The sequence below is a fragment of the Homo sapiens genome, chromosome 6, assembly GCF_000001405.40.
Source record: "Homo sapiens chromosome 6, GRCh38.p14 Primary Assembly".
NCBI classification, from domain to species: domain Eukaryota; kingdom Metazoa; phylum Chordata; class Mammalia; order Primates; family Hominidae; genus Homo; species Homo sapiens.
The window spans coordinates 83,337,984-83,362,453 of NC_000006.12; the positions used below are offsets into that span (position 1 = coordinate 83,337,984).

Consider the following 24,470-nt stretch of genomic DNA (forward strand, 5'->3'; position numbering starts at 1 on the left):
AAGGAGATAAAGGGTATTCAATTAGGAAAAGAGGAAGTCAAATTGTCCCTGTTTGCAGATGACATGATTGTTTATCTAGAAAACCCCATCGTCTCAGCCCAAAATCTCCTTAAGCTGATAAGCAACTTCAGCAAAGTCTCAGGATACAAAATCAATGTACAAAAATCACAAGCATTCTTATACACCAACAACAGACAAACAGAGAGCCAAATCATGAGTGAACTCCCATTCACAATTGCTTCAAAGAGAATAAAATACCTAGGAATCCAACTTACAAGGGATGTGAAGGACCTCTTCAAGGAGAACTACAAACCACTGCTCAAGGAAATAAAAGAGGACACAAACAAATGGAAGAACATTCCATGCTCATGGGTAGGAAGAATCAATATCGTGAAAATGGCCATACTGCCAAAGGTAATTTACAGATTCAATGCCATCCCCATCAAGCTACCAATGACTTTCTTCACAGAATTGGAAAAAACTACTTTAAAGTTCATATGGAACCAAAAAAGAGCCCGCATCGCCAAGTCAATCCTAAGCCAAAAGAACAAAGCTGGAGGCATCACACTACCTGACTTCAAACTATACTACAAGGCTACAGTAACCAAAACAGCATGGTACTGGTACCAAAACAGAGATATAGATCAATGGAACAGAACAGAGCCCTCAGAAATAATGCCGCATATCTACAACTATCTGATCTTTGACAAACCTGAGAAAAACAAGCAATGGGGAAAGGATTCCCTATTTAATAAATGGTGCTGGGAAAACTGGCTAGCCATATGTAGAAAGCTGAAACTGGATCCCTTCCTTACACCTTATACAAAAATCAATTCAAGATGGATTAAAGATTTAAACGTTAGACCTAAAACCATAAAAAGCCTAGAAGAAAACCTAGGCATTACCATTCAGGACATAGGCGTGGGCAAGGACTTCATGTCCAAAACACCAAAAGCAATGGCAACAAAAGCCAAAATTGACAAATGGGATCTAATTAAACTAAAGAGCTTCTGCACAGCAAAAGAAACTACCATCAGAGTGAACAGGCAACCTACAACATGGGAGAAAATTTTCGCAGCCTACTCATCTGACAAAGGGCTAATATCCAGAATCTACAATGAACTCAAACAAATTTACAAGAAAAAAACAAACAACCCCATCAAAAAGTGGGCGAAGGACATGAACAGACACTTCTCAAAAGAAGACATTTATGCAGCCAAAAAACACATGAAGAAATGCTCATCATCACTGGCCATCAGAGAAATGCAAATCAAAACCACTATGAGATATCATCTCACACCAGTTAGAATGGCAATCATTAAAAAGTCAGGAAACAACAGGTGCTGGAGAGGATGTGGAGAAATAGGAACACTTTTACACTGTTGGTGGGACTGTAAACTAGTTCAACCATTGTGGAAGTCAGTGTGGCGATTCCTCAGGGATCTAGAACTAGAAATACCATTTGACCCAGCCATCCCATTACTGGGTATATACCCAAAGGACTATAAATCATGCTGCTATAAAGACACATACACACGTATGTTTATTGCGGCACTATTCACAATAGCAAAGACTTGGAACCAACCCAAATGTCCAACAATGATAGACTGGATTAAGAAAATGTGGCACATATACACCATGGAATACTATGCAGCCATAAAAAATGATGAGTTCATGTCCTTTGTAGGGACATGGATGAAATTGGAAACCATCATTCTCAGTAAACTATCGCAAGAACAAAAAACCAAACACCGCATATTCTCACTCATAGGTGGGAATTGAACAATGAGATCACATGGACACAGGAAGGGGAATATCACACTCTGGGGACTGTGGTGGGGTCGGGGGAGGGGGGAGGGATAGCATTGGGAGATATACCTAATGCTAGATGACACGTTAGTGGGTGCAGCGCACCAGCATGGCACATGTATACATATGTAACTAACCTGCACAATGTGCACATGTACCCTAAAACTTAGAGTATAATAAAAAAAAAAAGAAAAGAAAAGAAATGTGAAATACTATATAACATTAGAAGAATAGCAGAATAGAATATTGTTGCTACTGTGAATGAGTTAATTTTTAACTGGTTATTACAAGTACATAGAAAAGCTATTAAGTTTTGAATATTTGTTTTATAGGCAGCCACTTTACTGAGTGCTATAATTTGACCACAGTATTTTTTAGTTGGTTTTCTTGAGTTTCAGTAATAGATAAACATATTACCTATAAATAATGATAATTTTGTCTTTTCCTGTCAGTTATATCTCCTTTGTTTTATTGTCTTATTACACAGGCTAGAATTTTCTGAATAATAAAAAAGAAAACAGCAGTGATAACGGGTGTCCTGTCTTTTAAAATAATGCCTCTAATATATCACCATTAATTATGATGCAGCTAATGGTTTGAATAGATTTCAAACATTATTTCAACATTAAAATATTCTGCAAGATTTTACTTGCCAGTATTTTATAAAGAACTTTTGCTTCTACATCTATGTTCACGTGAGGTAACATTTACCAAGTGCTTTCAAAATGCCAGTCACAATTTTAAGCATTCTAAATGTATTAAACCATGACACCTCTATGAGGTAAGTACTCATTTTACATGAGCAAAACACAGAAACACCACTAGTAAGTGGTGAAACTGGGAGCATGGGTAAATATGAGACTAATTAGCAATTTCTTGTTATGTGCTATTTTTTTTTTTTTACCAAGTTTGGATATCAAGGTTATGCTCTTTTTAAAAACTGAAATGTTAAGCTGTCAATTTTAGTATGCTCTGGGACAGTTTATATAGCATAGGAACTATATTTCCTTAAAAGGTTGATGATCAAATCCTTAATCTTATCTGAGCTTAAAACTTAATTCTGCTTAATTAACAATAAAATTTACATCTATTTTCCTTTTTGTCTGTTTGCCTCTTATATTTCTATTTATTCTGTGGATGGACTCTGGTGACAGTTGACAAGCATTCAACCAGTTTGAATAAGGGCCTAATCCTTTTATCTAGTAGCTTAGCGACCATAACTGAGAGTCACCGGGTGAACGCTGGCCATGCCAGAAAGACTAACCATGTGATCTGGGGTAGGGCATCTGCGTCATACAGTATCGGTCAACCTGGAGACTGAGTTCAACCACCTGGGCAATCAATCAATCAATCAATCATGACTAGGTAATGGAGCCCCAATAAAACTCTGAACAGTGGGACACATGTTGATATTTCATATCCATACTGGAAGGGTAACATGTCCTGATTTTATAGGAAAATGGACACTTCACATTTGGGACTCTTCTAGACTCTTCCCTATGCATCTCTTCTTTTGTGAGATTTTAATGTGTATCTTTAGCCCATAATACACTGTAACTGTGAGTACAATAGCTTTCAGTGAGTTTTTTGAGTCTTAGCAAATTATCAAGCCTGAAGTTGGTTTCGGGAAGCTCTTCAACTTGCAGTTGATGTCAGAAATGAGGGCAGTCTTGAAGAGTACGTATACCTGTAAACTCTGTAGTTTAACTCTGGGTACAGCTAAACTACCTTTTATAAAGGGAACAAATAATTTACTCTCCTTTTAGAACAAGAACTCTAGTTGATCATTTACTAGTATACATTTTTACAATTAAATTCCCAAAATATGATTTATTTAAAAAGACAAGATATAAGAAGATAACAGTAATACAGAGTTTAAGACTAAGAATGAGGCAGGAGAATAGGGTCTGGAGGCGGGGAATCTAAGGCCGTTTTGCACTGACTTCCTGGAACAAAATTGAAAGGAAAACCCTAACTTTCTACGCCTAAGTAACAAAATGACCAGAGGCTACTCCCTTTGCAAACCCCTACCTTTTCTGCTGGCAGATGAGAAATTGAAAGTACCTCTGACTGGTTGGTTTTTGCAACCAATCAGACGTTTGCATAGGAGTGTAACTTTGTAACTTCACATCAGCCTCTGATTGGTTGCTGTCCCCAACCAATCACACTGACTGTGGGCCAAGTCTTCATTTGCACAGAAGGGCAGCTTTGTAACTCCACTTTAGCCTCAGATTGGTTGCTTTCCACAACCAATCAGATGTTTGCTAGGAGTGTGACCTTTGTAACTTCACTTCAGCCTCTGATTGGTTGCTTTCTGCAACCAATCAGACTGATTGCAGGCCACCACTTCATTTAAATGGGGTGAACACTAATTGGCCAATGGGAAACCTCTAGCGGGTATTTGGACCTTAGAAGATTCTGTATCCAGGTCCTTGAGCGGCTGCTCAGGCCTGCTCCCACCCTGTGGAGTATGCTTTCATTTTCATTAAATCTCTTCTTTTCTTGCTTTATTCTTTCCTTGCGTTGTGTGTTTTGTCCAATTCTTTGTTCACCAGTAACAAGAGTATATAATAACTGTCAGAGAATTGGTTTGCTAAATGCCTTCAAAAGCCTTTACCAAAGAAAGCAATTAATACATACTGCAACTAGTTACATGTGTATCTCCTCTTCTAGATTCAGAGCATCCTGCTGGCAAAATCTAGTTTCTTACACCGATATTACCTAGGCTTTGCTTAGGCTTTGATAGATAGCAGATATTCAATACTTTTTAAAAATTTGTTTATTGATACATAAATTTGTATATTTTTATAGGGTACACGTGATACTTGGTTACATGCATGGAACGTGTAATGATCCAGTCAGGGTATTTAGGGAGTCCATCATCTTGAGTATTATTTCTTTTCTTTTTTTTTGAGACATAGTTTTGCTGTTGTTGCCCAGGCTGGAGTGCAATGTTGTGATCTCAGCTCACTGCAACCTCCATCCCTGGGTTCAAGCGATTCTCCTGCCTCAGCCTCCCAAGTAGCTGGGATTACAGGCATGTGCCACCATGCCCAACTAATTTTGTATTTTTAGTATACGGGTTTTCTCTATGTTGCTCAGGCTGGTCTCAAACTCTCAACCTCAGGTGATCTGCCCGCCTTGGCCTCCCAAAGTTCTGGGATTACAGATAGGAGCCACCACCCCCGGCCACCTTGCGTTATCATTTCTATGTGTTGGTAGCATTTCAAGTCTTCTCTTCTAGCTATTTTGAAATATACAATACAGTGTTGGTAACTGTAGTCACCCTACTCTGCTATCAAACATTAGAACTTATTCCTTCAATTGACATATTTGTACCCCTTAACCAACCTCTCTTCATCCTCCCACCCTCTATCCTGACATACACACACCCTTCCCAGCCTTTGGCAACTATCATTCTACTCTCTACCTCCATGAGATCAACTTTTTTAGCCCGGGTGTGAGAACATGGGATATTTGTCTTTCTGTGCCTGGTTTATTTCACTTAACATAATGAGTAGGTACTCAATGTTGGTCTAATTCAATTAAATCTACCAAATGCAATTTGAGGAGTTTCAGAAAGGTCTCTCAAAGACCTCTGTCACTCTCAAAGTGACAAAGGTATTCTCCGGTGACCTGTCAAAGAGTTAAAGGTTCACCATTCACTTAATTTTCTGCCCTTAATATTCCTGAAAGTCGAATGGCAGTAAGCAAAATCTCTACAAATAATACACAGCATTTTAACAGTAGATTCATTTAGATAATCAGATTATTTTCTAATTATCAGCTTAAAAATTTTGAAATGTAGTATGAACCAGACATGTCTTAATAAAAAGAGAGAGAAAAAGCTAGATCTACAGCTGGTTAAAGTAAGAAATTTCGTGAAGGATAGGTGGATGCGTTCTGCAGGCTGAGGAAGTAAGATACTGGATAGAAATGTAATAACATAAAAGCAATGAATACCAAAACAGGAAAGAAACATACACTAAACAGAGATAATGTGGAAAATTCAAGACAACCATCAATTTGGCTATTTTAAGACCTACTTTCATGAAATCAACTCTTTCATATAATACAATCTCTCTCATGAAATCAATTCTTTCATATAATACATATCTATCAATGCAAGTGTCCTAGTGTTACAGTTTCACTAGTGCACAGCTTTTTTTTAATGTCCACATTATACAAACAATCTCAATAAATGGCCAAGGTTTAAAACTGTTTAAAACTTCACTGTTATCCCAGTGAAGCAGGAGGATTGTTTGATACCAGGAGTTCAAAACCAGCCTGAGCAACATACATAGCAAGACCCCGTCTAAAAAAAAAAAAAAAGGTTAAAAAAAATTAGATTGGTGTGGTGGTGCACACCTGGAATCCCAGCTACTCGAAAGGCTGAGGCAGGAGGACCACTTGGGCTCAGGAGTTTAAGGCTGCAATAAGCTATGATAGTGCCACTGCACTACAGCCTGGGTGGCAGTGCAACATCCTATCTCTTACAAAAAAAAAAAAAAAAGCCAAATTCTAACATTTTTGCATGTCTGTTTTGTTGTTATATATTCCTCCTCATTTCTCCACAGGATTTTTAAGATATATTACATATTTTTGTGATTTTTAAAATTTGATTTCAATGTAAACAAAAAAGTAGCTGGCTGTGGTGGCATGTAACTGTAGTCCCAGCTACTTGGGAGGCTGAGGTGGGAGAATCACATGAGTATGGGAGATTGAAGCTGCAGTGAGCCATGATCATGACAGTGCACTCTAGCCTGGGCAACAACAGTGAGACCCTGTCTTAAAGAAAATAAAAAAATAGGCCGGGTACGGTGGCTCACGCCGGTAATCCCAGCACTTTGGGAGGGCGAGGTGGACAGATCACAAGGTCAGGAGATCGAGACCATCCTGGCTAACACGGTGAAACACCCTCTTTACTAAAAATACAAAAAATTCACCGAACATGGTGGCATGTGCCTGTAGTCCCAGCTACTTGGGAGGCTGAGGCAGGAGAATCGCTTGAACCCGGGAGGCGGAGGTTGCAGTGAGCGGAGATCAGCCACTGTACTCCAGCCTGGGTGACAGCAAGACTCCGTCTCAAAAAAAAATAAAATAAAATAAAATAATAATAAATAAACTATTTTATTTCAATGCAACTTATCACATAACAATTTTTAAAATATATTTTTAAAATAAAGAAGAAATATATTTATTTTATTTTAATTTAAATTTTTTAGAGCAGGGTCTCACTCTGTAGCCCAGGTTGTAGTCCAATTGCGCGATCATGGCTCACTGCATCCTGAATCTCCTGAGTTCAACCAATCCTCCTACCTTCTAGCCTCCTGAGTAGCTAGGACTGTAGGTACACACCACCTCTCCTGGCTTAAAGAGGAAATGTTAATGTTCAATGTATACACACAATTTTAGGACAATTGTTTAAAGAGGCCAGCTTTGATAATTTCTAAGCCACTTCTATTGGTATTAGAAAATGCCAGATAAGCAATGTATTTTTATTAAAATGTATCCTTTGATAAAGGTTAAGTGAGCATTCATGCATAGATCAAGTTAAACATTGTAACTTTCTATGTGTAGGTTAAAAACATAACTGTTTAAGTCACTATCTGTATTTTTGCTCATGCAAAAATATATTTCACATTACTTACAGATCAAAAGTTATATCTTCAATTGTTTTAGAAGGAGACAAAGAAAACAAACATAATGCATGTATGTATTTGTGTCAAGGTCTTATTTGATGATATATCTGTTTGGGACCTAGGTCTGAAATTTGTAAATAACTTTTTAAAAGTTCATCCTTAACTGACTATTATCTTTCATTTCTATTTCAGAGAATTCTATGTTTAACTTCTAGTATCTAGTTAGCTAGTTAATCCTAAATATTAGCAGTAAAGGATGAGCAAAAAAAAAGTAGTACTTAACATCTGACTTTAAGATTCTAAAATATAAAGTCATGATTGAGAAAAGTTAAACTCCAAATGATCTATTTTAGGTTCAATATGGTTTTTAAAACAAGAATATTTCAGACTGATTAAATTTAATAAATCCCATGGTATTAGTTCCTATATAATAAAAAAATAATTTTTAAAACTATTGCCTTAAAGTAAAACATATATTCTATAGAATAATGGTGTAAATACATATCAAAGCAACATAAGGCACTAGGGAAGCAAATAAAAGATTAATCACGTTATTAAGATGGGAAAAGGAGAACAGGAGAAGTAATTTTCTTACAACAGTAAAGGGCAGATTTGGAGAGAGAAAGAGAACCAGACAAAAAAGAATGAATTTTATGAGTTCCTGGAATAAGTTCAAAATGCAAGAATTGATGCCATTTTTAAAGGTACATAGCTGCCTTATAGACGTAAATTATTTACCTCATTTTCGGTTCCCACATCCAGAATGACAGGCAGACATTCTTGAGGATTCATCCCTCCGCAAGCTGTATATAGAGCCAATTTACCCACAGGGATGCCCATTCCATTACAGCCAAGGTCTCCCAAGCCAAGAATACGCTCTCCATCAGTCACCACAATGGCCTGGAAGAAAAAGAAAAATTACCTATTAACAAGTTTTCACAAATCCTGAGACACAATTTCTGACTCTATTTCTGAAGTTACTACTAGTGAAATAGTAAGCTGTTAAAAAACATAAATTGAATATTTATGAAAAAGATTTTATAAATTGTAATTGTGGAAGAATAGGGTGAAGAAATGAACTTGATTTATAAATATGCTTAATTAGGTTATTTTAAAAAGAAGGGCAAGTGTGCACATAAAGATTCAAACATACCAAATAACTTTTCAATCAAGAAGAGCAAGTGGGTAAAGTATAGGGAAATAAGAGCTCAGACTGGGAACCAAAAGAAACACAGGGTGGTTTTGAGCAAGAGTGTCCTTAGTAAAGTACTGCATAGTTACTGAAGAGATTGAGGAGGTTATATCTCTGCCCTAAATGCTCTGATCTTCAGTTTATGCATCCTGGCCCTATCCTCCTATTTTTACAACAATCTGACCCATTCTCCTTAACTCCTATAATCACTTGATATCTTTGAAACATGTCCAGTACAGTCTGCTACTTCTTACCTGAAAATTTTCCACTAGACTTAATGAATTTTGTCTTTCTCCTTCCTTCCTTCCTTCCTTCTTTTATCTTTCTTTTTTTTCCCTTTTTTCCGAGACGGAGTCTTGCTCTGTCACCCAGGCTGGAGTGCAGTGGCACAATCTCAGCTCACTGCAACCTCTGCCTACCGGGTTCAGGCAATTCTCCTGTCTCAGCCTCCCAAGTAGCTGGGATTACAGGCGCCCGCCACCACGCCCGGCTAATTTTTGTATTTTTAGTAGAGACAGGGTTTCACCATGTTAGCCAGGCTGGTATCAAACTCCTGACCTCGTGATCCACCCGTCTCAGCCTTCCAAAGTGCTGGGATTACAGGCATGAGCCACCACCGTGCCCAGCCTGTTTAGTTTATTTCTAATTAACTTGAATATTTATGAAGCATATACTTTAATCATGTGGAGATTTTAATTCTATGTAATTTGATATCATTATTGAACATCTTTGTGATTCATGTCAGTTATATGAATTTAAACAAAACCAATCTTATGAAACACAATTTATTAGATAGTCTACAAACTGCTACACTCATCATATTCAGAGAAACGTGGGAATATGTCAGTTATTTGGCCTTGGGTGAATTTAAGCTTCTGTTTCTTATTGGTAAATTGGGAGTAATAAAGGTACTTTTCAGAGTAGCTGTATAAAATTGGGAACCAGGTCTTTTTGCTTACCACTGTACATCAGCACCTAGTATAGCATTTGGCACACAGTAAACAATCAATAAATATTAGTAAATTGAATAAAACTATGATTACATAAAATGAAATCATGATATATAAAGAACTTACCACAGTACCTGGTACATTACAAATTCTTAAAAATTTATAGCTATTATTACTATTATTTCACTGGAGCTAATTATAAAGTTATAGCATTTTAGATGTAAAGAGAAATCTAAAGTATATTCCATCTATTCCTCTTATTTTATAAATTAGTTAACTGAAAAATCAGAGAACTGAAATAATTTGCCTAAAGTGATTTACTTGGTTAATATCAAAGAACCAGAAACCCACATATGTTAATTCCTAGTACAGTGCTCTTTTCACCATACCACATTGCAGAATATATTTTAAAATATACTTCTAAGATATTTTATTTAATTTCCTGTTCACCTATATTATTCAGCTCTTGAAAAATTGTCTTAAAAGCAAATACATTTGGGAGGTAGGTGAAAATCATTTTTGCACATTCAATACATTTGTCTTTGGAAGATTTTCCATGTCAAATAGCAGTGGATCAATATGTGATGCTCTTTTGGAGGAAGCAATCCGATACTACTGGGTTAACTTAGCCCTGATTTAAGGTAAAAAAGATAAATACTGCAGATAACTATAACTTTGTTTTTTAAATTAAATTAAGGCCAAATTTTCAAAGTCCTGGTACTTCTAATGTGTATTTAACAGACAGTTTTATTTACTGCATTACCACAAATAGAGGTATTTTTACATATCGTTGATAATATATACTTTTATGAATGTGATCTTTACATAGGTAAAGTCCAGTTGGCCTGCCTATACTTACAAATATTTTTAATGATATGTTTTATAAGGAGAGTAATATTGTCATTTAGCTTAGTTAGCTTAGTCATTTAGCTTAGCTTAGTTATGACCTGAATAATAATTTATAAAATGCTTTCCAGATTTCATCAAAAGTGCTTAAACACAGAGAGTTGTTATTTGGTTTCAAAATTCTGAAGGGATTTCAAGTGGCATAACTTTTCACTTATTTTTGATAGCTCATCTATGTTAAACTAAATATATGTCTTGAACATTAAAAAAAAAAAAAAGTGGGCCAATTGCAGTAGCTCACGCTTATAATCCCAGCACACTTTGGGAGGCCGAGATGGGCGGATCACCTGAGGTCAGGAGTTCAAGACCAGCCTGACCAACATGGCAAAACCCCGTTTCTACTAAAAACACAAAAATTACCTGGGCGTGGTGGCGAGTAGCCTCCCAGCTACTCGGGAGGCTGAGGCAGAAGAATTGCTTGAACCTAGGAGGCGGAGGTTGCAGTGAGCAGAGATCACACCACTGCATTCCAGCCTGGGCAACAAGAGCAAAACTCTGTCTCAAAAAAAAAAAAAAAAACAAAAAACAAAAAACAGTGCATTCTTTCTTATTTCTTCATAACTTTTATTCCCTAAGTTCTTCTCTCAAAGCTATTATTTATATTATTTAATAATATACATATACATGAACATTTAGATATGTAGTAGTTTGAGAAGTTTTTAAAATATGTTTTGAGACATTTGATATTTATGCTTTATTACAAACGTACATTTATAGCATTAATTCATAAATACTTCCATATAAAAGAGTAGATTTTAACAGTAAAAGAATTCTCTCAAAGAAAAAAAGTTTTGTCACTTATGTAGTTTATCACTAAATTAATATTCTCTTGCTTTTTTTAACCTACTTTATCTCCTGCTTCAGAAAAATGAAGCAGTTGGATGTTTTCTGTACGATAATTAAGTCACAACTGCAGGATTAATATCAGTAAGACAACTACAATTCTATCAGTGATGTCTGTTTTTCAAAAATTAAATCTTCACCCCACTATACAAATTATTATCTAGGCATTACCTGAATAGAAACTTCTGTATGAAATACGCAGATTTCTCCTGAACACACAAAGATACTCTCCATGTGTCCTGTCTTCATCCCTTCATTTAATTTCCCAAGGCCCATCCTCTTGTAGCCTACCTAAATGCAGAACCTTTGCATCTTTTCCTGCTTTCTTGAAACTATTCTAAAATCTGTTTCCAGTGAACCTTCTTCAAATATTACTTATATAATTTCCTTGTTAAATATGACATTCTATTTTTTCAAATCTAAATCTCTTTCTGAATTTCAAAACCTTTTACAGTAATTTGATTACCCCTTAAACAATCTTAATTCCACTATATTCCAATATTAACACTCAGCTTTAGTCAGGCAAGTGAATTTCCTTATTATCTAAAAACACCCCATTCTCTTACCGAACTTGATATCTACATTCACCTGTTCCCTTCTTAGAATAGTATATTCTTCCCTTTCTAACTATCAAAGGTTGGATTTAAGTTTCAACTTTGCTAGAAAAGTTTTCTTAACTATTCCAGCCTTCTCTAAATAATATTCTCCTCAGAATGAATAAATAAGGCACCTATAATACCACACATTTTGATTATATTTTGCTTAATAATTGCCTTTATTTCATGGGTACTTTCAAGTATATAGTACAGACCATATAAGATACACTTACCTATCTTCAGCATTCTTTTACAATCAATAGCTGCCGTTTACTAAGTACCTACTATGTGCCAGGCACTATGCTAAGATTTTTAAATAAAAGAGGGCATAGTTAGGGATAAGAACATCAGTAAGGGCCCAATATTAAGAGTCCAAAGGATAAAAGTAGCTTATGAATAAAGTTAAAGATGCAGAGATCAGTTAGTTGGAAGAACAAGAAACATGGTGTGATAGCTTACTGCCTAGCTGTTAGGACGATTACAGGGATATTGGCTAGAACTCTCTACTGCAGAACTATTTCCTCTATTGACTTGTTAATTCTTGTTTGTTTGTTTTTTTTCTGAGACAGGGTCTCACTCTGTTGCCCAGGCTAGAGTGTAGTGGTGTGATCATAGTACATTGCAGAATTGAACTCCTGAGCTCAAGTGATCCTCCCACCTCAGCCTCCCAAGTAGCTGGGTGCATGCCAAGTAGCTGGGACTACAGGCATGCACCACCATTCCAGCTAATTTTAAAATTTTTTCTAGAAATGGAGTCTCACTATGTTGCCCAGGCTGGTCTCAAACTCCTGAGCTCAAGCAATCCTCCCACCCACCTCGGCCTCCCAAAGTGTTGGGATCACAGGCCTGAGCCACCACTTCTGGCCAACTTGTTGATTCCTTAAATTTTCTTTAGATTCCTGATTAAAAGTAAACATCCTTAGGTGATCAGACATTTATGCTTTATACAATTAAGATGTTTCTTAGGGTAGTTTCTAAGACCAGAATCTGTGGATAACATGGTCCTGTTGATAGCAGAAAAGCTGAGGAAGCAACTTAGGTGGAGAAAGCAAAAAAAAAAAAAAAAAAAAAAAAAAAAATTGAGGACACTGGAAATAATAAAAACCATTTTAATTTACAAGTTTTCCTGGCATGAGCCCTAGAGAACCAAATTAATCAATTATAGCCACAATGTCTCAAATAGGAAAGATCACCAAGGCATGGTAGCTCACACCTATTGTTTCAATACTTTGGGAAGCTCAGGCAGGAGGACTGCGTGAGGTCAGGAGTTCAAGACCAGACTGAGCAACATAGTGGGACTTTGTCTCTAAAAAAATTAAAATAATTTTAAAAAGATCATTAACGGACTTACATTCAGAAGTTATAGCTGAAGTGCCTTTGTACCACCAAAAGGCATTGATTTATTCCATCCTGGTACTAAAAGATACCACAAAGTTGCTAGGCATTCAACAGAAAAGAAAGAGGGAACCAAAGGGAGAACAAACACTTCTCACCTCCCTTAGACAAGGAAGATGGCATAGCCCTGTGTCTAAGAACAGGGACTCAGAGGCCAGCTCTGGGGCCTGCATGCAGTTCCCACCACTATCTTAAGCTACTTTGTAACCCATCTGTGCCTTTCTTTCCTCAATCAATTATTATTATTATAAGAGTTAATCCATGTAAAAAGTCTCATTCAGAATGCTACCAAATGTCAAGTACTATTATTACTTTTATTTTCATTAGCTCACTTACAGAGGTAAGTCAAATGAACTACTTAAAGTCATAATGATAAAAGAAATGAATTAACAGACTTTTTTTCTTGCCTACTTGGATTCCTCTTAGTGGATAATTAAACACAACAGATAGAATTTAAGGGTTTGCTTAAAGAAATTCAGATGCTATCACATATTCAACATTTATCATTACTTAGAATGGAGGTACTAAGAAATTAGATAGAAATAATAGGAAAACTTAGTATCTAAATGGCATCAGAATAAAATTAACCCACTATGTAAAAATCAAAGGGATATAAATTAGGTGATATTCACTAGAAAAGCTAATGAATGCTACCTATTATCATGAGAATTGTCAGTATATTTTAAACTGTTTTATGGGACAGAAAAAAGAAAAAATTTGCTATAGTGGAAAAACATGATAACTTACCTTGATGACATCTTCTGGCCATGCATTGAGAACTGAAGCAATATGCCCTCGATCGTGGATAGTAATAAAGAGACCTCTGCAGAAAAAAAAAAAAAAAAAGGAGTAGTTTACATTTACTTCAGGCCTGTCAAACTACCATGAATATCTTAAATTTTTTTTCAAACAACAATTTAATTTATCTCAATTTTTATCAAACTGGTGGACATTATTTCCTTAAACAAATAAGGGGCAGGAATTCTTATAAGTAAGGGAGAAATTACTTGAAATAATATATTGACATCTACAATAAAGGGAGATTTGTTCTCTTAGATATTTTAAAATATTTTTAAATTAATAAACATTTACTATTTTTATGTACAGAGAATTTAGATACCATTATCAGTTCCACTCACAAATTCATTTAGAATCTGTCATGATATAATATATATAAAAGCACTTTGAAAAGCAACATGAAGCATCTGTAAACAGGTATTTCCAACGTATATGCCACCTAATCCATTTTCAACATGAAGATGAGAACATGTGTTAGAGATGGCTGAAGTGACTGACTAATGCTGAGTAGTTCTTTCATGTGGAGCTCACTTGATTTCTTTGATTTGTGATCTTAGTTGCCGTTTGCAACTCTGTTATTTACTCTAAAGTCTTTAACACTGCTTGCCCCTCCCATTTCCTACAAAATCTTAACAAGTAACTTCACAAATTAAAATAATAGAATTTAAAATATGTAAATGCCTTATCCTCATTTAAAAGTTTTGCTCTAGTATTGTTAAATGTGACTCACATACAGAGAACCACATATAGCTTAATGAATTGTTATAAGACAACCACATTTCTACATAATATTCATTTAAACAGAATCTTGCCAGCTACCCAAAACCCATCCCGGGTTTTCTCCCAAAGACTCTTCCCTTCTAAGTGTAACCACTATCCTCACTTTTATGGTATCACATCCTTTATAGTTAATTTATTATTTTATCACCAAATCATAAACCTTCCATAGGCACTATTGTTTAATTTGTCTGGTAGAGTTTCCCTCAATATAGATTTGGCTAATTACATCCCTATGATATAGGTTAACATGTTAATCTTTCTTCTGTATTCTTGGAAAATTGGTAATTGAAAATTGAATCTAGAAGCATAATCAGATTTATGTTCAATTTTTTTGGACAAGACATTTCATGGGTTGATGTTATCAGAAGGCACACCATATTTGGTATTCCTTTTTGTGATGTTAGTAGCTTATTTTGCTAAATGTCTAAATTCATGAATTCATCTGGCATTACAAAATGGTGATATTCCAATTGTATCATTCATTATGTATTTACTGGAACACCCCTTTAAAGAGAAATTTCACCACATCTACTATTTGGGTATCCAAGGATACGGTTGATATAGAAAAAGGAAAAATGCTTGATTCTCTTTATCAGTTTTTAAATTAAAAAGCTGGTTAACTACATTTCTTCAGAGGTTTCCACTTAGTTGTTGTTGTTGTTGTGTGTGTGTGTGTGTGGTTTTGTTTTTGGTTTTCTTTTTTTGATCAATTTGAACTCATGGATTTAAACATATTTGATGTGTTTCAATCCATTATAGTTATTTTCCTTATTGATATTCATATTATCTCATCTTGAGCAAGTGAAAGACTCTTCATGCTGTCCCCTGAGTCCTTTTGACATGTCTATAGTAGTTTTGGATAGATTCCTTGCTCTGTTATGATCAAATGTTCCAGGTCTATTTTGAAAATGTTCTGCCCAGACCTAAAATGAGCCATTTTTCTAATCTGTTTCCTTGAGCAGAAAGTGGTCAGGCAAAGGTCAGCTCTCAACTCTCATCTCATTTGACCTCTTGACTGTTTGACATTGTTGGTTTTCCCTTTTGTGAAACACTTTCTTTTCTAGCTGCTGAGATACCACATTTGCCTACGTTTCCTCCTAATCACTACCTGCTTCTTCTCAGGTTCCTTTGCTGCCTCCTCCTCCTCTCTGTCTTCTTAATGTTGAACTGTTTCAGGGCTCTATACTCCTCTCTTCTCCAGCTACACTCACTGATGTAACTTAAGCACTCTCATGGTTGGTTGTTTATTTTTGAAAGTGTCTCGCTCTGTCACCCAGGTTGGAGGGCATTGGCATAATCTTGGCTCACTGCATCCCCTGCCTCCTGGGTTCAAGCGATTCTCCTGCCTCAGCCTCTCAGGTGGCTAGGATTACAGGCGCCTGCCACCACGCCTAGCTAATTTTTGTATTTTTAGTAGACATGAGATGGGGTTTCACCACGTTGGCCAGGCTGGTCTTGAACTCCTGACCTCAAGTGATCCGCCTGCCTCAGCTTCCCAAAGTGTTGGGATTATAGGCGTGAGCTACGGCACTTGGCCTCTCGTGGTTTTAAATATCATATTCATAGTAGTGACTCTCAAACTTCTATCATCACTCTAGACCTCTCCTTGAGCTCCAAACTATAAATCTAACTACCTACTTAATTCTTTCTCATTATTCAATCTTCAGCTAAAATCTTGGCTCCTCAGACAGGCCTTCTCTGATAACAGTAGTCAGTGCACCTCCACCCCAACATTTTTATCACCTTCACAATACTTAAAAACATCTAGAATTATTTATTTATGTATTCAAATGTTAACTGTCTGTGTCTTCCCTGGCATCATCACCCAGCGTACATGTACACACAAAGCAGCAAGGTGCTTAAGTACAAAGAATCTCTATTTTGCTTACATTTGTAATCCTGATGCCTATAAGTGTGCTAGCAAGTAGTATGTATCCAACAATATGTGCTGACTTCAGTGCTGAAAAATAAGGCTTTTATAATCAAATATTATAAAGCACAGAAAACATGAAATAAATCCAGCCTAATATTGACTCATTAAGTAACCCAAAATTACGTCAGTGCTATAGGAAGATTACTGATGACTGTCTGACTCAACAAGAATATTAACTTACTAAGCTGACACTACATTATATCCTTTCATGGTTTTCTTGCTGTTTCATATGAATGTATTTTGTTTCTCAAAATTGATTATAAGTTCTTTATAAGGTATATATTTCTTTTGGATCCCTGTCATAGTCCAATGTGAGCCTATAAAATCAGCAGGATCTCAATAAATAATTATAAAATTAAAATATTTTTGAACTTTTTAAAGAAGGCACTTTTGTTGAATTACTAAGACATTCTTGGCAATATACTATTTTTTATTTGTATAAATTTAGGGGGTACCAGTGCAATTTTGTTACATGCATAGCTTGCACAGTGGTCAAGTCAAGGCTTTGGGGTATCCAGTAATATTTCTCAGGAACTTGTTAGTTAGCCAAGGTTTTCCAAATAACACTGGTTTCAGGAAACACCATTTTTTTAAATAAGAGAGACAATGAATTACACCAAAATTAACACCAATTAAATGCCAATGTTTATTATATCTGAGTTCAGCTTCAGAATAAGAGTCATTTGGCCACCTGTAATCTCTTGCACTGAGTAGAGATTCATTCATAGAAAGAATTATTACTTTTGAAGAGAGTTCAACAAATAAAGGACCGGTAACGTCCCACCAAAACCAAGCATTTCGGGAGGGCTATTTGAGTTATTTGCAATACTTCCTGAAATGTTTCATAATTAGAAACCGAATGAGATATCCAAAAGTGTTTTGGCACAGAAATGACTCATACTTTCTGGTACACAGTTGGATATAAAAACATTAATTTTCAACATATACATATATACAGTTATAAAATAAAAAAGTTTAAATAAGAAAGGTATTTATCAATATTTTTTAATGAATGGAATTATAATGAATACCTTTTCACCATCCCTGTTATTCTTGATCAATTTAAAATGTTTAATTTTAGACATGCCAACTAAGAATACTCCTATTTTTGTTCTTGTTTCATGTTAGAATTGAGACAATTTTAAAATATGGATGCTTTTTCATATATATAGTTCAAACTTTTCTCATAACCTCTTCCTTCAAAACAGATTTGGGAGATGAGATAATATTCTTACTTCTTCATGTTATCTCAGATAATATCCCTAAAAGTTTATTTCGTATCAAGATAAAATTCACCTTTTTATAACATGCAACTTTCTACTGTAATCAAACTTGTATTTCATTTTGGAGATAAGTTTATGACCCTGATCCTGGATCAGTACAGGTAGTAGCCATTCTGAAATTTTCTTAATAACCCTCTGTTCCATTACAGAAGCCAATTTTACTATCTTTTGAAATAAGAAAAGTAAACCCCACATTTTTCACAAAATGTGAGTATGCATTAGTGAGCCCTGTGAGTTAAGCCAACGCTGAGTTATATACCAAAGATCTGGACTGACAGAAAAAGAAGTACTAAAAAAAGCTAACTTCAAGTAAAATGTAGGTCTAAAGATCAGGAAATAGCTAGGATAAAGATGCAAATTTAGGATAGATATGCCTAGAGTTGCAAGAAATAGAAGAATTATTAAAGGGGAAAGAAGAGAAGGCCAAGGAAAAACATTACAAATTAGTACCCACAATAAAAGAATAAGGTGACTAAGAATGGCCTTTGAGAAGAAAATGATCTAACAGGTAAGACAACCAGTGTTTCTGAAGCCAAAGGAAGTCAAGGGGAAAAAATGTTAAGAAAGCACAGATCAATATGATCATTAAGTGCAGTAAATTCTTTGAATTCTTCTTTGAAGTACATTACATAAAATTGTTTTTTTTTCCTGAACTATGATTTAAATAGCCAACATGATGCCGCATCACTACCAAATGATGTAATGCATTTCCTACAAATAAAAATATTCTCCTACATAATCTTAACCAGAAAATTAATATTGACACATTATTACCATCTAATCCTCAGACATCATTCACATTTCACCAGTTGTTCCAATATTGTCCTTCATAATAAAGAGTAGTTCAAAATGCTGTGCAATATTTAGTTGTCAGGTCTCTTTGGTCAATCTCATTTCCTCAGTCTTTCCTTGACTTTCAAGACATTGATACTTATGAACAATTTAGTGTTTTTATAGAATGTCCCTCTATTTGAGTTTGCATACTGTTTGCTCATAATTAGACTGAGATTATACATCTTTTGCAGTAATATTACAGAAGTGATGCTGGCTTCTTCTCATTGTTTACTATCAGGTGGCACCATTGCCGACCGGTCCTATTAGTGATGATGTTCACATTTAACACTTGATTAAAGTGGCGTCCTCCAGGCTTCTTTACTGCAAAGTCATTCTTTCCTACCTTTGTATTTAACAAGTATTTTGTGAAAGGATTCTTCAAAACTCTGTAAGTATACTGTTTCTTCATCCAACTTTCAATTTATTCAGATCAGTATGGGCTCATAGTTTATTATCTTATTCAACAGGTTTTAATCTATTGCAAATATAATGTATCTGATGGCCAAATTGTCCCAGGTTTGCCAGAGGGAGGCCCTTCAAGCTGGCTTCTATGGCTTTTGAGATATCCCAATTGTGATGGTTAATACTGATTGTCAACTTGATGGGACTGAAGGATATAAAGTATTGATCCTGGGTGTGTCTGTGAGGGTGTTGCCAAGGAAGGTTAATATTTGAGTCGGTGGGCTGGGAAAGGTGGACCCACCCTTAATCTGGGTGGGCACAATCTAATCAGCTGCCAGTGTGGCTACAATATAAGCAGGCAGAAAAATGTGAAAAGAGAGGCTTGCCTAGCCTCCCAGCCTACATCTTTCTCCCATGCTGGATGCTTCCTTCCCTCGAACATCGAACTCCAAGTTCTTCAGCTTTGGAACTCGGACTGGCTCTCCTTGCTCCTCAGCCTGCAGATGGCCTATTGTGAGACCTTGTGATCATGTTAGTTAATACTTAATAAACTCCCCTCTCTCTCTCTCTCTCTCTCTCTCTCTCTCTCTATATATATATATATATATATATATATATATATATATATTTCATTAGTTCTGTCCCTCTAGAGAACCCTGACTAATTCAGATTTAGTTCTGTCCCTCTAGAGAACCCTGACTAATACAGATTTTGGTATAAGGAGTGGTTCTAGTGGAAAAGAATATTAAGGATGGAGTTCTTTCATTGGTTTTGGGGTTTTGGGAGTTGGCTGCCTAATATGATTAGACCACAAAATGCTAAGGACTCTACTTCTAATAGCATGGAAAACACTCATAGTCCTTGGCGTGAACTGTTTACAGAGTTATGCAAAATATATGCATTTGACACTCCCGATTCATCACTCATGAGAGGCAAGGAGTTTAGTGACTCTATACCTAATATCTTTGAGCCTATGTGGTGAACCAACGACCATAATAAAGCTGGTTGGTTGCTCCTAAGTTCAGTGGACAAAGTTATGAAAGAAAATGATGAACTCAGAGATTGTATCTCCTGGCTTCAGAAGCATATACTGAGCCTCAAATCTGCTAAGATTGCTCAGAGTGAGAGTCTTATCTCCTGTAGAGAAAGAGCTGAAATTGTGGAAAAACAGACACAAGCTCTTATTGTGCAAGTGGCTGACCTGCAATGAAAGGTGCATGCACAGCCTTGCCAGGTGTCTACTGTTAAAGTGAGGGCATCGATTAGAAAAGAATGGGACCATGCAACTTGGAATGGGGATGTGTGGGAGAACCCCAATGAAACTGGGGACACTGAGTTTGTAAACTCTGATGAACTCTTTTTTCCAGAAGGAACAGCTTCCCCATCTCCAGTAGTGGCAACATCCCCTCCTGGACCCATGATGCCATCAGCCTTTCCACCTTTGTCTGAGGAGATAAACCCTGCGCTACCTGAGGCAACAGTGATGGCCTCCCCTGAGGCAGTTGCCAGGCAAGATAATGTTTTTTTTTTTCTTTTTTCTTTTTATATTCTCCAATTTAAACTTTTAATTAAAAAGTAAACTTTAATGTTGAAAATGCAAACTTGGGGAAGACAGAAAAGATCACACACAAGGCTGTCACTTCTCACTTGGAAGGTTGCACAGCGGCCAGGCAGAGGCGCTCCTCACTTCCCAGATGGTGGGCAGCTGGGCAGAGGGGCACATCACTTCCCAGATGGGGTGGCTGGGCAGAGGCGCTCCTCACATCCCAGACAGGGCAGGGGCTGGGCAGAGGCACTCCTCACTTCCCAGACAGGGTGGTCGGGCAGAGGCACTCTTCACATCCCAGACGATGCGGGAGCTGGGCAGAGGCGCTCAAGATAATGTTGATTCTCCTCAGGAGCCACCCCCAACACCTCTGTTTGCTTCTAGACCTATAACTAGACAAAAGTCCCGGCAGGCCCCTAGAAGTGAGGTTGAAAGTGTGACCCATGAGGAGGTGCGTTATGCTTGAAAAGAACTGCTTGAGTTTTCCCATTTATATCAGCAGAAATCTGGAGAACAGGCATGTGAGTGGATATTAAGGGTGTGGAATAATGTTGGAAGGAAAATAGAGTTGTATCAGGCTGAATTTATTGATTTGGGGCCACTAAATAGGAACTCTGCATTTAATGTTGCAGCTCAGGGGGTTACAAAAAGTTCTAATAGTTTATTTACTTGGTTAGCTGAAATATGGATTAAAAGATTGCCCACTGTGAGTGAGCTGGAAATGCCTGATCTGCCTTGGTTTAATGTAGAGGAAGGGATCCAAAGGCTTAGGGAGATTGGGGTGGTGGAATGGATTAGTCACTTTAGACTGACTCATCCCAGTAGGGTGGGTCCAGAAGATATACCCTTGACCAATGTCTTGCAAAGCAGATTTGTGAGGGTAGCACCTACATCTTTGAAAAGCCTTGCACTTGCTCTCCTCTGCATGTCAGATGTAACATGGGAACTACAGTCACTCAACTACAAAATTTAAATACAATGGGAATAATTGGATCCTGAGGTGGCAGGGGCCAAGTGGCCACACTCAACCTTCAAACGCAAGGTGGGTGGAGCTACCGTAATAGAGAGCAGAGGCAATGCAGCAATCAGAATAGTCTGACTTATGTAGAGCTAGAAGTGAAACTGATAGGAAACCTACTGCGTTCCTACTTAATCTACACAATCTGAAAATTTCTAGGTCGAATGGACAAAAGGCTAATTTGAATTATAAAAACAGAGAATCATGACCCCTCAATCAATTTCCAGACTTGAGCCAGTTTACAAACCCACAATCCCTTGAATGAAAGGGAGGCCAGATCCCCTGGAGGAAGGACCCCAGTACATTACCGACAATTTATGCAGTGAATCTTTCTCCCACCCTTCCCCAAGGAGACCTCTGGCCTTTTACCAGGGTAACTGTGCACTGGGGAAAGGGAAATGATCAGACATTTTGGGGACTACTGGACAATGGCTCTGAGCTGACGTTGATTCCAGGGGACCCCAAACATTATTGTGGTCCTCCAGTTAAAGTAGGGGCTTATGGAGGTCAGGTAATTAATGGAGTTTTAGCTCAGGTCCAACTTACAGTGAGTCCCTGGACTCATCCTATGGTCATTTCCCCATTGCCAGAAATGCATAATTGGCATAGACATACTTAGCAGCTGGCAGAACCCCCACATTAGCTCCCTGACTGGTAGGGTGAGGGCTATTATGGTAGGAAAGCCCAAATGGAAACCATTAGAGCTGCCTCTACCTAAATAGTAAATCAAAAACTATATCGCATCCCTGGAGGGATTGCAGAGATTAGTGCCACCATCAAGGACTTGAAAGACGCAGGGGTGGTGTTTCCTACCACATCCCCGTTCAACTCTTCCATTTGTCCTGTGCAGAAGACAGACAGATCATAGAGAATGACAGTAGATTATTGTAAGCTTAACCAAGTGGTGACTCCAATTGCAGCTGCTGTACCTGTACCAGATGTGGTTTCATTGCTTGAGCAAATTAACACATCTCCTGGTTCCTGGTATGCAGCCATTGACTTGGCAAATGCCTTTTTCTCCATTGCTGTCCATAAGGCCCACCAGAAGAAATTTGCCTTCAGCTAGCAAGGCCAGCAATATGCCTTTACTGTTCTACCTCAGGGGTTATCAACTCTCCAGCTTTGTATCATAATCTTATTCAGAGAGACCTTGATCACTTTTCGCTCCTGCAAGATATGACACTGGTCCATTACATTGATGACATTATGCTGATTGCATCCAGTGAGTAAGAAGTAGCAAACACACCGAATGTATTGGTGAGACATTTGCGTGCCAGAGGATGGGAAATAAATCCAACTAAAATTCAGTGATCACCTACCTCAGTAAAATTTCTAGTGGTCCAGTGGTGTGGGGACTGTCAAGATATTCCTTCTAAGGTAAAGGATAAGTTGCTGCATTTGGCCCCTCCTACAACCAAGAAAAAGGCACAATGCCTAGTAGGCCGATTTGATTTGAGAGGCAACACATTCCTCATTTGGGTGTATTACTCCAGCCCATTTATCGAGTGACCTGAAAGACTGCCAGTTTTGAGTGGGGTCCAAAACAGGAAAAGGCTCTGCAACAGGTCCAGGCTGCTGTGCCAGCTCCTCTGCCACTTGGGCCATATGACCCAGCAGACCCAATGGTGCTTGAAGTGTCAGTGGCAGATAGGGATGCTGTTTGGAGCCTTTGGCAAGCCGCCATAGGTGAATCACAGTGGTGGCCTCTAGGGTTTTAGGGCAAGGCCCTGCCATCTTCTGCAGATAAATAAGCTCCTTTTGAGAGACAGCTCCTGGCCTGTTACTGGGCTTTGGTGGAAACTGAACATTTGACTATGGGTCATCAAGTCTCCATGTGACCTGAACTGCCTGTCATGAACTGGGTGCTTTCTGACCCATGTAGCCATAAAGTGGGCCATGCACAGCAGCATTCCATCATCAAATGGAAGTGGTATATAGGTGACTGGGCTCAAACAGGTCCTGAAGGCACAAGTAAGTTACATGAGGAAGTGGCTCACGTGTCCATGGTCTCCACTCCTGCCACCCTGACTTCTCTTCCCCAGCCTGCACCGATGGCCTCATGAGGAGTTCCCTATGATCAGCTGACAAAGGAAGAGAAGGGGCTGGTTCACAGATGGTTCTGCACAATATGCAGATAACACCCGAAAGTGGACAGCTACAGCACTACAGCCCCTTTTTAGGACATCCCTGAAGGACAGCAGTGAAGGGAAATCTTCCCAGTGGGCAGAACCTCAAGCAGTGCAACTGGTTGTGCACTTTGCATCAAAGGAGACATGGTCAGATGTGCGATTATACACGGATTCATGGGCTGTAGGTTTGGCTGGATGGTCAGGGACTTGGAAGAAGCATGATTGGAAAATTGGTGACAAAGAAATTTGGGGAAGAGGTATGTGGATCGACCTCTCCGGTCAAAAACTGTGAAGATATTTGTATCCCATGTGAGTGCTCACTAATGGGTGATCTCAGCAGAAGAGGATTTTAATAATCAAGTGACAGGACATGACCCGTTCTGTGGACACCACTCAGCCTCTTTCCCCAGCCAC

At 37.6% G+C, this 24,470-nt stretch overlaps 1 protein-coding gene across 1 annotated transcript in view; it reads right to left on the minus strand.

Annotated features, from left to right (window-relative positions):
* Nucleotides 1-24,470, minus strand: part of ME1 (malic enzyme 1) — a 220,650-nt gene that overhangs the window by 127,582 nt on the left and 68,598 nt on the right. The window contains exons 4-5 of the mRNA NM_002395.6: nucleotides 14,081-14,156; nucleotides 8,190-8,351 (exon numbers count right to left, since the gene is read on the minus strand). Of these exons, the coding sequence (NP_002386.1) occupies nucleotides 8,190-8,351; nucleotides 14,081-14,156 (238 nt within the window). The remainder of the gene's footprint in view (nucleotides 1-8,189; nucleotides 8,352-14,080; nucleotides 14,157-24,470) is intronic.